A 15,814-nucleotide genomic window follows, 5' to 3' on the forward strand; every position below is an offset into this window, starting at 1 on the left:
GAATGATCTCTTATCTGTAGAATCTAAAAATTTTGAATTCATAGAAGCAAAGGGTAGAGTGGTTACCAGGGACTAGTAGATGAGGGAAATGGAGAGATATTGGTCAAAGGGTACAAACTTTCAGTTATGAGTTGAACAATCTCTGAGGATCTAATGTACAGCATGAGTGGTGATGGATATGTTTATTAATTTGATGGTGGTAATTGTTACATAATGTATACATATATCAAATCATCATGTTATATACCTTGAATATATTCAATCTTTGTCAATTAAATATTTTTAAATACAATAAATAAAATGTCTTCAAATGTAACGCTGTGATTCAGCATTGAGATGAAAAGTCATTGTGTACACACAAAAAAAGCATGTAAACAGAGACACAGTGGGTACATTTTATGTTGATGAAGCAAATATTCACCATAGGACAAATGATCACTATGCCATATTTTGTTCCAAAGCAATAAATCACATATGTGGTTTATGAACCTAAGTAGATGATGCTGTGCTACATTTTGTTTTCTGAGGATTATGCAAAAGAAGCATCTCTTACATGCCAAGAAATGCAACTAAAGGAAAAATTATTGCCAAATCCCTGAACTAGATGAAAGAAATGTCAAAGCGTCAAAAGGCTGGTGTGACCAACAAACATATCATGCAAAGTTATCATTAAAGTTTTGTATCACAGTTTAATTGGAAACACTTTTTTCTTTCCTAGCAGTATGTAAAATAGTAAGTGCCCCAAAGTCAATGACATCTGAAAAGCTCATTTAAAATAAATACTTCTAGAAGATTTGAAGAATTCTTTGGGTTTAAGTAACTTATAAAAGCAGAATGCAAAATTACAGTCAAAATGATATAAGATAATTTTAAAATACTGTGGGAAAGTAAGAGTTAATACATCAAAATGTTAGAAGTCTTCACCACAATACAATACATGCATGTAAGAAACCTGCAATTGTACCCCATAAATATGTAAAAACAATACTAGTAATTAATTACTTAGTTTTTAAAAAAATAAGTGCTAAAAATGTTAGAAGTCTATAAAATAAGATTATAATTTATCTTTATTTTCTTCTTTATGTTTTCCAAATTATTGACAAAAGAATGTACATTTAATCAGTTAAAAAAATAATACTTAGAATATTAAAAACAAAAATGAAAATGTACCCTCCAGGCAACTTTAACCTCCCTTTATAGCCCATTATTGTTATTTATCTAAGCCTTTTTTTTTTTAAGTCCGTTTGTATTTCAAATTCTTCCTTTTCTATGAGAGGTACATTCTACAGGTTCACAAGCTTGTGTTCCTAGATTGGGCCAGTGCATGTCAACCCAATCTAGAGTCTTCAGACTTTTATGATCTTCAATTATACTTTCTTGGCCTTTGCTATTCTAGCCACAAATGGTAGTTCATTATTTTTTTTCTCCAGATATTGACACTGTTTCAGAAAAATAAAGGAATTTCACAATTCATCTTTCTTAATGGTTATACTTATTTCCAGTCACTGCCCTAGGCTTTTCTGAAATCAGGTCTACAGCAGACCTAGTATATTTCTAAGTTATTTATCCATTGTGGTATCTTTTGAGTTCTTTCCCATATGACAGAAACTAAGACACAGAAAGGAAACATCTTTTCCTGGGTATATTAGTGATCAAAGGGCCTTTTCATTGACACATTTTGAGCCATGGACTTTCAGATTATACCTTTCAGATCAAACACTAGAATTTCTAAGGTCATTGAGAAGATGAATGAGGACAGCAAAAGGTGATGATGGACAGAAATAGAAGACATGGGGTCTGAATTAAACCCCAGGACCAGGGGGCCCTGAATCAGCTGGATTCATACTGAGGAATACATCCCCAGGCAGTCTTTTCTCTCTGCCCTGGATCCAAGTTTTACTGCATTTACAAACCCCACCTTTCTCCTCTTTTGTCTCTCTCACTCTTCTACTCTCAAAATAAACTATGTTCAACTACCACAAGCAGCCTTGGGTTGCAGATGGGAAGCAGGGTGAACCCCAACATTGCCTGTGTGGGCTCCTCATCAGTCACTGCTGACAGCCCTCCCTCAAACCAGCATCTCTGTCTCTGCTGTTGGCACGTTTCTGCCCTTGTGCCTCATGCAGTCTTCTGTCACTCACAGAATCTGCAGGTGGCCCTCCTGCAGATGTGGCCAGAGTATCAGAGTACCACCAATCGATTCCACAAATGAAGGATACCGTGCCTAAATTAAGATCTCCCACTGGCGCTATCAATCAGCCAAGAGCCTCAATTAAAATTTGATTACCAGAAGCTCTGTTTTCACTTCAGTCCCTCCTACAAGTCAATTCATTTGATGGTGTAATCATAAAATTATTTAGGCATTTAACTGCAGTCCATAAGCATGTTCAACTCCCTATTTATGCCCTATCCCACCCCCAGCTAGTTAATTAATAAATAAGACCTGGCATGAATGCTACTCATCTACAACTAATAATAGATGTCTGAATTGGTCTGAGATTGAAGTTCAGGACTTATTTTTCTTGGAGCTAGAAGTTTTCCAGAGACTTGGACATGAAGGCATGGTGGAATAAGATAGGATGCAGAGGATGTCATAGAAACATAGAACTCGCCTCAAATCAGTGACACGACTCATCAGGTCTGCACAGGGAGCAGAGTATACAGAGTACAAATTTGTAGGAAGGGGGAGCAGGGTCTGCTAACACTATCTTGTCACTGTTACATTAAGACCTAGACCTTCTAAAGTCAGAATCTGCCAAAAATAGTAAAATAAGGCTACATTTCATTGCTCCATCATGTGTGAGACATTCGTTAGCATTTCATGCAGGCAGGCAGAAAATTACTGGAGAAAGGAAGAAATCACATTCCAAGCTCATCCCCCACCAAGAGCTGCAAATTTGGCATTTCTGCACAGGAGGAAACAATACCCTGCTGGAAACAGACTCATCAACCCAACCCACAGGGAAAACACAGAGAAAGCAAAGGGAACTTCCATCTTTATTGCTCTCTGTATCTTGTGAGTATTTATCAGACTGAGGAACATTTCCTGTAATACTTACATAAATTCTCTTCTCAGCTAAAGTACTATGCTCCCTATCTGAATTCTGTTTCATTCATTAGAACTGAGGTATGATTAGCTTCTTTAATGATTAATATACTCACAATCTGTAGAAATGGGGAAAGAGGGAAAGAAAGGCATATTAAGCCCAGAGCACTGGGAAGGGCTGGATTTCATCTGTGTCCCATTCTCTCAGCACTTTTCAGAAGTGGTCCCCTCTCTAATCATTTAAGCTGCCTCACAGCCACAGATGATACACAGGCCTTGGATCCTGGATTTGACTTTCATCTTTGAGGTGACAGTCATGTTTCCTACTTGGCAGGCTCCCAATTACCAATGGCAATGGGGAATACGTGAACTAAACAAAGCCAAGCACTTCAAATACTTTACCTCATTCTTCATTGCACCTTTTAGCAAAACTGATTAAGAAGGGACATACTAGACTGTTTTCAATTTTACCTCTTCCTCCTTTAATTACCCTGCTTCTAGGAGAAGGATCACATGCAGCCAACTGTGTGTCAAAGGAAGACAACGTGGGCTGGATAATCAAGGCCTGAATTCCAAAGGATGGGTTATGTAACTGAGTCACTTCCACTTGGGGGATGAGGGCTTTACCTAGAGGCAGCCTAGAGTGGCCAGCCCGTGGCCTAAACATTGTTTTGCATGATAAATGCACGTTAATGCGAGAGGACAAAATGAAAAACTATTACATTGTCTTAAGCATGTGGCTTTGAATTGACTTTCTTTCACCTGCCTCTAAACTACGTCATGCTGCCGCTTGCAGTGGCCTGGCAGCTTTCCACTGCTGTTGTCGCTACTCATTCCAGGCTGATGTCTCTCAGATTGCAGCACCAAATCTTAGACCCTTTTCTTTTAATTCTCTATCAGATTCATTCCACATTGTCCAGCTCCGACGGTTCCACTTCAAATGATTTTTTTAATCTGAGATTTAGCCATTTAAAAACCATATTTTTGCAGAATACTCAATGATACAGGAAGTGTCATAATATACAGATTTATATATATTTTTTGAGACAGTCTGTCTCTGTCACGCAGGCTAGAGTGTAGTGGTGCAATCTTGGCTCACTGCAACCTCTACCTCCTGGGTTCAAGCAGTTCTCGTGCCTCAGCCTCCTGAGTAGCTGGGATTACAGGCACACACCACCATACCTAGCAAATTTTTGTATTTTTAGTAGAGACGGGCTTTCACCATGTTGGCCAGGCTGGTCTCGAACTCCTGACCTCAAGTGATCAGGCTGCCTCAGCCTCCTGAAGTCCTGGGATCACAGGCATGAGCCACCACGCCTGGCCTCATCATATAATATTACATAAAAAACATATATGCAATATGATCTGATTTGATGTGTGTGCACATGTTTTTAAAAAAATCCCAAAATATCAGTCTTTTTTTTCTTTACTTTTTTTTTTTTTTTTTTTTTTTTTTTTTTGACACGGAGTCTCGCTCTCTTGCCCAGGCTGGAGTGCGGTGGTGCGATCTCGGCTCACTGCAACCTCCACCTCTCAGGTTCAAGTGATTGTCCTGCCTCAGCCTCCCAAGTATATGGGACTGCAAGTGCACACCACCACACCTGGCTAATTTTTTGTATTTTTATTAGAGATGGGGTTTCACCATGTTAGCCAGGATGGTCTCGATCTCCTGACCTCGTGATCCACCTACCTCAGCCTCCCAAAGTGCTGGGATTACAGGCATGAGCCACCATCCCTGGCCCAAAATATCGGTCTCAATCATTTATTGGCAATGGAATCAGGAGTAATTTTAATTTTCTTTTCTGTACTTTCAGGAATTTTCTAAATGCAGTATATATTTTTACAAGCAGAAAAAAAAATCATCTTTTCCAACTACTATACAGATGTTGGATATTCCTCAGTTTAAACCTGCATTTTATCATCTATTTGTACCATATTCTACTCCACTAATTTCACTTCCTATCTTCTGGATTCCCCAAATCCCACGTGGTTCAACATTGTTTCCGGCTTCCAGGATGCAAACTTAGCAAGCAGGCTGACTTCTGGATGACTCCTCACCACATCTTGTGGCAGGAAGCAGAATGAGCCAGGACTATCTTCTAGCTCTCATCTACCCCAGATATAATACAGGGACCTTGAAAATTCCTCTTAGCTCTCTGGGCCTCCTTCTCCCCATATAAAAACTGAAAGATTAGGATGAATGTCCCTAAAGGCCCATCCAGCATAAAATTTCTACTTTTCATCAGCTGCTAGATCCGACTGCAGCAGCAAGTTCTAATTGCCATGAGTGTGAGGTTACTGCAACGTCCCACTCACAGGCAAGTGATTCTCATTCAGCAGGAACTGGTGAAAGCTGAAAGTCATAAATATTCAGGAAATCTAACATACTGTTTTATATCAGAATGAACCTCTCAGGCAAAATATTCATTGCAGATGTATATGCAACCCAAATATCTGTAGTATGGAAAACCAGGAGAGGGGGAGAGTGCTGAAAAAAGAGAAAGGCAAAATGGGCTTTCAGAAACATTAAATTATGTAATATACCAGACATAAATAAGGAGTTAGCTGTCTACCCAGCATTTAAGTTTAATGAATTCTGAATTCATCTGAATCATCAATTGGCTCAAGTATAAATACCTGGAATGATTATTATAATCTGATCTAAACAATTAATCTTAGAAAGTATAACTCAACCTGGGTGGAAGTATTGACATGTCAAGGTTAATTTCTTAAAATTATACAAGTAACACATGAATTCACTATAAAATAAAAGTCAAACCATGCAGATGTACACCAAGTAAACATCTGGAAGTTCCTCCTTATCTCATCCTCTCCCATCCCACTCTTCCAACCACAGGCAAGTGATGTTTTAGACCCTTCTTGGTCTAAATGTACATATCTTCACATTGTTTCTGTCTCTTTCACATGGCACTATGAGAGTATCTATAAACATTAGATGTCTTTGTCCTGTCAGATTTAACCAAAAACTTGACAAATTTCTTATTAAAATGGAATCCTTGCTTTTCGAGGGAAAATCTATTATTTATAACTTCTAGAATCAATTCTAACCATTATTCTCTATCTCTGTAAATCTTATCTTTAAGGTAATAAGCAAATAAGCATCAATATTAAAGGAAAAAATGTTACTAGGACAGTAAGAACAGCACAGAAGCCACTGTGTACAGTTATGGCCTTCTAAACATAGGCATCTGCAGACTTCGATTAGCCCAGGCCTTAACTGAGCTCAACAGATGCCCCCAGGTTAATTATCATTTGAAGATATAATCACTCCAGACTCTGCCTTGGGAATTAGCATCACAACTCTTCCTTCTCACTGCCAAGGTTCTGCAAAACTATTCCCAGACAGAGCTGAGGGTTTGGAAAGCAAGAATCAGGATACTTTGGAGGTTCTAGAAGTCCAGAGATGGCTCTTCAAAGATCAGACTCCTAAGGTTTAATGTTAAAACACCACCAGGACTATGTTTATATAAGTTTAAATGCTAACATGACTCTGTATTACTGGCAAAACCAATTCTATGGAATAAAAGTCAATGAAGATTTTGCAGAGATTGCTTGTATATATAGCCAATACGAAAAAAATTAATTCAAAAAATTAATATAATTAATCAGATGGCTCAGTTTGAAAGAATTATTATATTGGCTCTGGGGAGGGGAATAAATCTTTTTATTATTTATTGAGTGCTTGATATTCTAAGCACCTTACATGAGGTAACCAATTTAATTTCACAACACATGTAAAAGAAAGTACTATATCATCCCAATTTTAAAGAAGAGGAAACTAAAGAACAGAGAGCTTGTCAGCTTCATCTTCACAGGATCTGGGCTCTCCCTCCTAGTAGCAAAATGCAGCAGTTTTAGCCTTCACACCTTTATGTCTCTTTCCAGAGAAAAAGAAAGTCTTCTCTGGATTCACATTCTCATTAGCATGATTGTGTTACATGCTCTTGTCGTGCGGACAGGGAGGCTGGGATATGACTAGAACAAGCCAATCAGAGCCTACACCTAAGGGCATGTGGTGGCATCAACACCACCTAAGCTTCCTAGCTGAGAAGGGAGGGAAGTCAATCCCCCCCACCCCAAGGTGTTAGGAGAAGGGAAGTAATGGATACTGGGGAGGTGACCACCAAATATCTGCTCTAGAACTCATTAGCCAGAAACAAAGAAACTGAAAGTTTCTCTAACCATATAATTATAATTATATTCCAACTTGAAATTATAAATTCCTATTGGCATTATTTGTTCTGAAACAGTATGTCTTACATGCAGTAGCTTTTTAAAGAAAACCCAAATTTATAGTCTATCCTGTCTGCCCCCAAATCAAACTACAACAGGTTATCATACATGCTAGGCACTGTGAGCAATATAGATGGTCATTTTTGTCAGGAATGTTTATCATGCAGAACTAAGACTATCATTCTTTTTGATTGGAGGAAAACAGATTTCCAATGAGGAAATTCTTTCTATGTAGTCGTCTTTTATGTATTTGTTACTTCGCCCTTGAACTGTGGATTTGTTGCTTTGCTTACATGCAAGCAAAACACATGAGTGAAATGAAGAACTCTATGAGTCCTTACAACATACTCAGAATTATTCATCTGCTTTTATTCTAAATAGATAATTAGCTACCCAATTTAAAATATGTTCTCAAATGAAGATGCCACAGCATTCCCTGGGAACACACTTTAAAGTTTAATGACCTTCACTGGCAGCATGATGCTCATATTAGAACTAACATGGAACTCAATTTAATCCATGAAGATTTGTTAAGGTAGAGTGCCTGCTATGGGAACATCTTGATGCTCATGCCCATGTCTTGATAGAAGATATCCTCTACATTAGCCTTCACAAACAAGTAGACCACAGTTGGTTCTGTACCTGCTAATCAACATCTATGTAGGTATATGTATTTAAATAGCTGCACTAGGAAAAAATGGCATGCCAAAAAAGGTGTAAACTCTATCCTCAACCTTACCTCTCCAGAATACATGTTCTCATTTTGTTTTCCTAGTCCTTCATGGTTTCCATGGCTTTACTCTGAGCCTTCTGCTAGTTTTCCACAGCTATGATAAATCGATGTCTCAAAACTGAAATCCATAAATAGAAACAACCAGTGGACTCTAGAAAAATAGTGGTTTATCATGGGAAGCAGATTCCCAACCAGAAGATTTCACATTAAGCTGTGTTTGAATGGAAAAGAAAAATAAATATAAAACTGAAAGAGTCAACATAACAGATATCAACTCACAATCGGGAGAAACACTTCGTATCATTGTTACTAGGGATGACTAATCCAATAAATGTCTTAGCTAACACCAGCTGCCCATAATCTAAATATACCAGCAACCATTCCCAGGCCTACAATGTGCGTACATGCTATTGAGAAGTATCATTCTATCAAAGCCTAAGGAGCCTCAAAGCTCATTCAGGTCTGAGCCTGAACAAGCTGCAAAACATTTCAAACCTCTCCAAGGTGAATTAAAGCTCCAGAGAAGGCAAATTAGAGGGGTGACTGAGATCCTCTCATTTAATGCAAGAATCCCTCTACAACAGTACATATCCACTGATCCAGCAGCAGGGAGCTGGGCAAGGCTGCTCCAACAATGCTTGTCAAGTTTTAAATACTGGGAAGCCACTCCTCATACTAAGTCAAAACCTCCTCTCTGTCATTCCTACCAAAATATGCCTAACCTTTCTTGCAATGACAAGACTTCAACTACAGGAAGACAGCTATCATGTTGCCTACTCAGTCATGTCATCTACTGTCTTCCTCATAGGACATCCTACAGCCTGAATATGTTTTGCATCTTTCTCCTCGTCACTTTTGTGAAGTGATACAAAAATCTAGAATTTCCAAAAAACATACCTGCTTCCTTTTCCTACTATATTTCTTTTTGTGACAGGTGTTTATTCCACTTTGTAGTCTCTCAGAATTGAATAAGTGAACCAGTATACACAATAATAAACACTCACCCTGATTTTTTTTTTTTGTCATGAGTTACCATTTATACTGCTTTGTGTCTGTTTAAACTATGCTCAACTGATTTCCTCTACCCTTGAGTCTCCCTATATCCAATCTCCTCCATTCAATCATTCTTGCCCTGTGGATTAAGTTCAGGTAGCAAATGCCTCTCTATTCTACAACATCTAATTGATCCTGCCGGTGTGACATTTCAATCTCGGCTTCATCTGGAGAAGCAGCGTCATGTGAGATGGTAAAATACTATAGAGAAAAAAAAAAAACAGAAACAGGAAAAGCTTATTAACCTTTGAAACATGATAGTACATTCTGTGCTTCTCTTAACACCTGATCATTTTCTAAGCCCTACAACTTTCCATTTATTATGCCCTAGGTGACTAAGTGATGCTTTTACAAACAGAATGTGAGATGCTGTTTTGTTTTTGTGTAATTTTGTGGCAGTTTCACAAACTCGGAGAGATTGGAGTAATGATCAACTATGAAACACAAGACCTGAGTTCCAAACACCATGCTGCTCTGTCAGGACATTTCTATGTTGTTATGTAGATAGCTGATGCTAAAATGTAACTCCAAAAAGTGGAATCCTAACCTCCTCTGAAAAATCTGAGTTATAATCCCAGGTCAGAACAAAGTGTCCAACATAGAGCTAGCTTCTGCTATATATAGCACCTTCGCATCTCTTAACTCAGTTATACTTCAGAACGTCCTGCCAAGACCAGGAAAATGGGCTCCATTTCACCAATGAGGTCACTGAGGCTTGGAGACTTGTGACGTGATGAAGCTCACCTAAGTGCCAGATAGAGTTAAGATAAGAAATAAATCAACAATTGATTCAGTATACTACATTCTTCAGCGTTTGTCACAGCCCCTCATTTGTGAGGTCTAATATTACAAAAGTTAACTACTTTTTGTTTTGCTTCGGTTTTTGAGACAGGGACTGGCTCAGTCACACAGGCTAGAGTGCTGTGGCACAAACACAGCTCCTTGAAGCCTGAACCTCCCAGGCTCAGTGCCACCCCCACACACCTGTCCCCAGTAGCTGGGACTACAGGCACATGCAACCTTGCCTGTCTTTTTTTTTTTTTTTTTTTTTTTTTTTTGTGGTGGGTGGAGGGGGTAGAGATGGGATCTCCCTATGTTGTCCAGGCTGGTCTCCAACTCCTGGGCTCAATTGATCCTCCTGCCTTGGCCTCCCAAAGTGCTTGGATTACAGGTGTGAGCCACCATGCCTGGCCATAAAGTTAACTTCTGCTTTTACTTGCCTTAGATTTTGACAAGTGATATAAGCAGAAGAAACAGTGAGAGAGGAAGAAATTTCCTAAGATGGCTGCAAACATATGTCCTAAATGACACAGCACCAGGGCACTGCCCGGCAACCAACCTTCCTCATGGCCTCAGAGAACTGTGGTAGTGAGAGGCCATTATATGCTGCTGATGACACATGAACACCACAGGGTTCACTTAGCATCTGCTGGTGGCCACACCTCCTTCTTCTTCTTGCTGCAGAACCCTGACTCCAGATACTGTTTTAAGTGTGTGTACAGGACCCTCGAAATACTGGATCTTGAAATAATAACCAATTTTCCACTTTCTCTGGGTTGAGGTATAAAAACCTATTTTTAAAATGTTTGATGGGAAAAAGGGAGAAAATTTTTTCTTTCTTGTTTTTTGAAAGCATGGGGAAGTTTCCCGCTGAAATTTTTTTAGAAAAAAAGAAAGGGAAAAAAATGCATGGAGGTAGGGGGACAGTTTTGCTTCTGAAATTTTCCAGATATTTCTGAACCTTCATACCACTTACTCTGGGATTAATCACATGAATATCAAGAGCCTTTTTTAGGTAACTAAGCACAGAACAATTTTCTAATCTCTGCTTTGCCATTTTCTTTATAATTGTGGGCTAGTGACATATGTTCCTTCATCTATAAAATGGTGATAATATTAGCCTACTCCAGGGAGATTCTGTAAGAATAATAGAAGAAAAGCCTTTAAGCCCAGCTTTAGCAACCACCCCCATAGACAGAGGCTTCTAAGGGACTTGCGAGGAGTAAGAGGGAGCAGAGGGAGTGGGAACGTGGCAGAAAACGCAGAGAGAGAAGCCCTGCCCACTTTATCCAAGGTAAAACATCCTAGCTTATCTCTTTCTAACACAAGCTCTCTCCCATGATTAAGTCCACTTTCTGGTCCAGCAGTTTCTCCACCAGACCACATCCAGTTCCCAGAGAGCTATTATCCCTACATTAAAGTTCCTTGATTAAGATTTTGTTTGAAAAGTCCACATTTCTATTTATGCACTGCTGCTTTCAAAACTACACAGCAGGGCCAGGTGTGATGGCTCACACCTGTAATCCCAGCACTTTGGGAGGCTGAGGCGGGTGGATCACCTGAGGTCAGGAGTTCGAGACCAGCCTGACCAACATGGTGAAACCCCATCTCTACTAAAAAATACAAAAATTAGTCGGGCATGGTGGCAGGTGCCTATAATTATCCCAGCTACTCGGGAGGCTGAGGCAGGAGAATCACTTGAACCCAGGAGGCAAAGGTTGCAGTGAGCTGAGATCACACGACTGCACTCCAGCCTTGGCAAAAGAACAAAACTCCATCTCAAAAAAAAAAAAATGCCAGGTGCGGTGGCTCACACCGTTAATCCCAGCACTTTGGGAGGCCGAGGAGGGTGGATCACCTGAGGTCAGGAGTTTGAGACCAGCCTGACCAACATGCTGAAACCCCGTCTTTACTAAAAATACAAAAATTAGCCAGGCATGGTAGCACATGCCTGTAATTCCAGCTACTTGGAAGGCTGAGGCAGGAGAATCACTTGAACCCGGGAGGCAGAGGTTGCAGTGAGCAGAGATTGCTCCACTGCACTCCAGGCTGGGCAACAAGAGTGAAACTCCTTCTCAAAAAAACAAACAAAAAGACTACACAACGTATGTTAATGCTATGGCTAAAGATTCAGTCATTAAGAAAATTACAGTAATGTGGAGTCTGTTGACTTTTCACCTTGGAGACCAAACACATTACTATTCACTTCCTGCTTTAGTTGTTAAATGATTGGCAAGCTCATAAAGCCCCGTATCACTAAGACAACAGCTGAGAGTAGACCATCTTGTGATTCTTACATACACAGTCAGCCTTGGAGGTGATAAAGTAATATTCACCATTGGACAACTGAGGAAAACAGAGACTAACTTCAGCTGAACACTATCGTGAGAGAATTGTAAAAAATAAAATAAAATAAAGCCACAACTTCATTGAATTTAAGAGGAAATTACACAAAGTAAACTTCTTTTTGCTTATCCACTTAAATAATATTTAACGCTACTAGTAGCTTTGAAATGTCCACTCTTATACTAAAAGCAAACGTAGTTCACAGAGAATGTATATCAGTAATAACAGATCAAGCCACTAACAAAAAAAATCAAAATTCAAAACATAGAAACATAAGAGGGTTTTTTTAATCATAAACATCAGTGTTTGTTAAATTACTAGGACATATTTAACAATACTCACTTCTTGAAAAAAAAAAAAGGCAGGCCTCTTAAGTGTACTTGTATATCGACTTAAAATGTGATGATCCCACTTTTTAATTAAATAAAAATAAAAACCAAATTCTATGGAATTTGGGTTTTTTTGCTGTTTTGTTTTTTTGTTTTCGAGACAGAGTTCCACTCTTTTGCCCCAGCTGGCGTGCAGTGGCACGATCCTGGCTCACTGCAGCCTCGACCTCCTCAGGCTCAGGTGATCCTCCCACATCAGCCTCCCAAGTAGCTAGGACTACAGGCGCAGGCCACCACACCTGACTAATTTTTGTATTTTTTTTGTAGAGACAGGGTTTTGCCATGTTGTCCAGGCTGGTCTTGAATTTCTGGGCTCAAGCGATCCTCCTTCCTGGGCCTCCCAAAGTACTGGGATTACAGACATGAGCCCCCACGCCCAGCCTATTTCTATTGAATTTGATCAAAATGTTTATCCATAAATATAACTAAATAACAACTTACTCCTTCTCTAAACAAAATTAAGACAAAAGATATACTCATCAAGCATAAAACCTGACAGTTTTTAGTTTAGATTACAAATTCATTCCCCTTTTCCTTTCCAACTTCCTGTTTTGTATCATAAGCCAGCCCCCTCTACACTTGAGATCCCTTCCCTGAATATGTCCAAAGACCAGTGATCCTGCTGTAATTTTTTTCCAAAGTTATTTTTAATTAAGTTGTATGTATTTATGACATACAACATGATGAAGTGTATATATACACTGTGGAGTGGTTAAATCCAGCTGATTAGCATGTACATCGCCTTATAGTTATGATTTTTGTGGTGAGAGCTGTAATTTCAACCCCCTCTCACTTTCTCTCTCTATGCATTTTCATCCACCTTTTCAATCATTATGAAATTAATGATCTGTTTATGTCCAAGTCACTAGTGAAGCACTCCATAAATCAACAGATGTGTTTTTGATTCAGAGCATTACCCTCGTTCCTTCCAAGCTAGATCCTAAAAAGGAAATCATTCCATTTAGAGAAAATTATCTCCACAAAATAATCTTCAAATAAGTGTTTCATGCCCTTCAAAATCCATATCAAATCTAAGACTTTGATCATGAGGTATTCAGCACTATCATGGCAAGATAGTATTTTAAAAATGGCTTAGGCTAGGCACGGTGGCTCATGCCTGTAATCCCAGCACTTTGGGAGGCAAAGACAGGTGGATCACGAGGTCAGGAGATCGAGACCATCCTGGCCAACATGGTGAAACCCTGTCTTTACTAAAAATATAAAATTAGCCAGGCATGGTGGTGCCTGTGGTCCCAGCTACTCAGGAGGCTGAGGCAGGAGAATCACTGGAACCTGGGAGGTGGAGGCTGCAGTGAGCCGAGATCATGCCACTGAACTCCATCCTGCGCAACAGAGCCAGACTCTGTCTCAGAAGAAAAAAAATGGCATAGATATGTGTATACACACAAATGTATTGGTTGGTGCAAAAGTAACTGGAGTTTGCCATTACTTTTAATGGAAAAAATCACAATTACTCTTGCACCAATCTAATATCTATAAATCAAATAAAAATATGTAAGTATTCTTGTAATAGTTGTGTATATTTGTGTTTAATATTTTGACAACTCAGCACCCACTTCTCCTTCCTATAGGACACAAATGTCTTTTGGAGAATTACATTTTTTAATTAAATAGTCTTGCTGCAACAATAAATCCAAGTGCCTACCTCCCAGGAGATTCCCTTCTTCTTAAATTACCTGTATTAGTCCATTCTCACACTGCTAATAAAGACATACCCAAGACGGGGTAATTTATAAAGGAAAGAGGCTTAATTGACTCACAGTTCAGCATGGCTGAGGAAGGCCTCAGGAAACTTACAATCATAGTGGAAGGGGAAGCAAACATGTCCTTCTTCGTATGGTGACAGGAAGGTGAATGAGTGCTCAGTGAAGTGAGAAGCCCTTTATAAAACCATCAGATCTCGTGAGAACTAACTCACTATCATGAAAACAGGATAGAGGAAACCACCCCCATGTTTCAATTATCTCCACCTGGTTCTTCCCACGACACCTGGAGATTACTGGAACTACAATTTAAGATGAGATTTGGGTGGGGACACAGCAAAACCATATCATTACCCAAAGTCAGTTTCTGTTGCCTACAACCCATGGACCCTGACTGTTACTGTTACTTATGAAATAAACCCTGAGTAAGAACACATCAGTATTTGCACTCTGGGCAATTACTATATATGGGAAGATGCATTCTCTTAATCAGTGAGTAAATAGGATCCAGGGAAGTTGAATTTTCAGGCAGAAAGGTTGCCAGGAGCTCTCTCCAGGGAAATGGCAAGAGCTGAGAAGACATCATTTTAAGACATTTCACAAGCTTTTGTGAATGACAAAGGGGACACAGAGAAGGAAGTTTCACAAGTCCAGATGAAAGCTGGTCAAGACCCAGAGCACAGCAGAGGTAGTAGAGATAGAGGGGCAATTATAATTTTTTTAAAAAAGAAGAAAATTCAGGATTTTATTATGGGGAGAATGGCAGCAAACATATATATATACACATATGCACACACATATATATACACACACATACATTTTTATATACACATACATATATATATAATACACACCACACAAACACACACACACACACACACATAATCTCCAGACTTGGTGGTGTGTTCTGAAATTTGTTGCCCAGGCTGGAGTGCAGTGGCACAATCCTGGCTCACTACACCGTTGACCTCCCCAGGCTCAGGTGATCCTCATGCCTCAGTCTCTCAAAGTGCTAGGATTACATGTGTGAGCCACCACACCCAGCCTATTGCTATTGAATTTAATCAAAATGTTTATCCATAAATATAGCTAAATAACAACTTACTCCTTCTCTAAGCAAAATTAAGACAAAAGATGTACTCATCAAACATAAAATCTAACAGTTTTTAGTTTAGATTTGCAAGTCTTAAAATGACCTAGGCTGGATGATTATAAATTCCCCTTTTCCTTTCCAACTTGTTTTGTGTCATAAGCCAGACCCCTCTACACTTGAGATCCCTACACTTGATATATATTTATAACATCTCCAGACCTGTTGGTGTATTCTGAAATGTGGTAATACCTTCAATGGAATATCGATTGAAATTGGCAACAGGGTTGTTCAGCAAGAATTCCAATAGCAGATGAGTGAATCATCTCTCCACGTTGAAGAATTTTATATTCTATGCAGCAAGAATATTTTATCTACTCTTCAATATGTACATAGTGT

At 39.2% G+C, this 15,814-nt stretch overlaps 1 long non-coding RNA gene across 1 annotated transcript in view, besides 1 other annotated feature; it reads right to left on the minus strand.

The window, feature by feature from the left end:
* LOC105370265 (uncharacterized) overlaps nucleotides 1-15,814 on the minus strand; it is a 94,000-nt gene that overhangs the window by 75,683 nt on the left and 2,503 nt on the right. The window lies entirely within an intron of this gene.
* Nucleotides 10,449-10,568: an enhancer, noted in NCBI's record as "active region_7837". NCBI's record gives its function as "activates an Ori minimal core promoter by ATAC-STARR-seq in GM12878 lymphoblastoid cells {active_cell/tissue: GM12878}" and the evidence as "EXISTENCE:reporter gene assay evidence [ECO:0000049][PMID:35858748]".

The sequence above is a fragment of the Homo sapiens genome, chromosome 13, assembly GCF_000001405.40.
Source record: "Homo sapiens chromosome 13, GRCh38.p14 Primary Assembly".
NCBI lineage: Eukaryota > Metazoa > Chordata > Mammalia > Primates > Hominidae > Homo > Homo sapiens.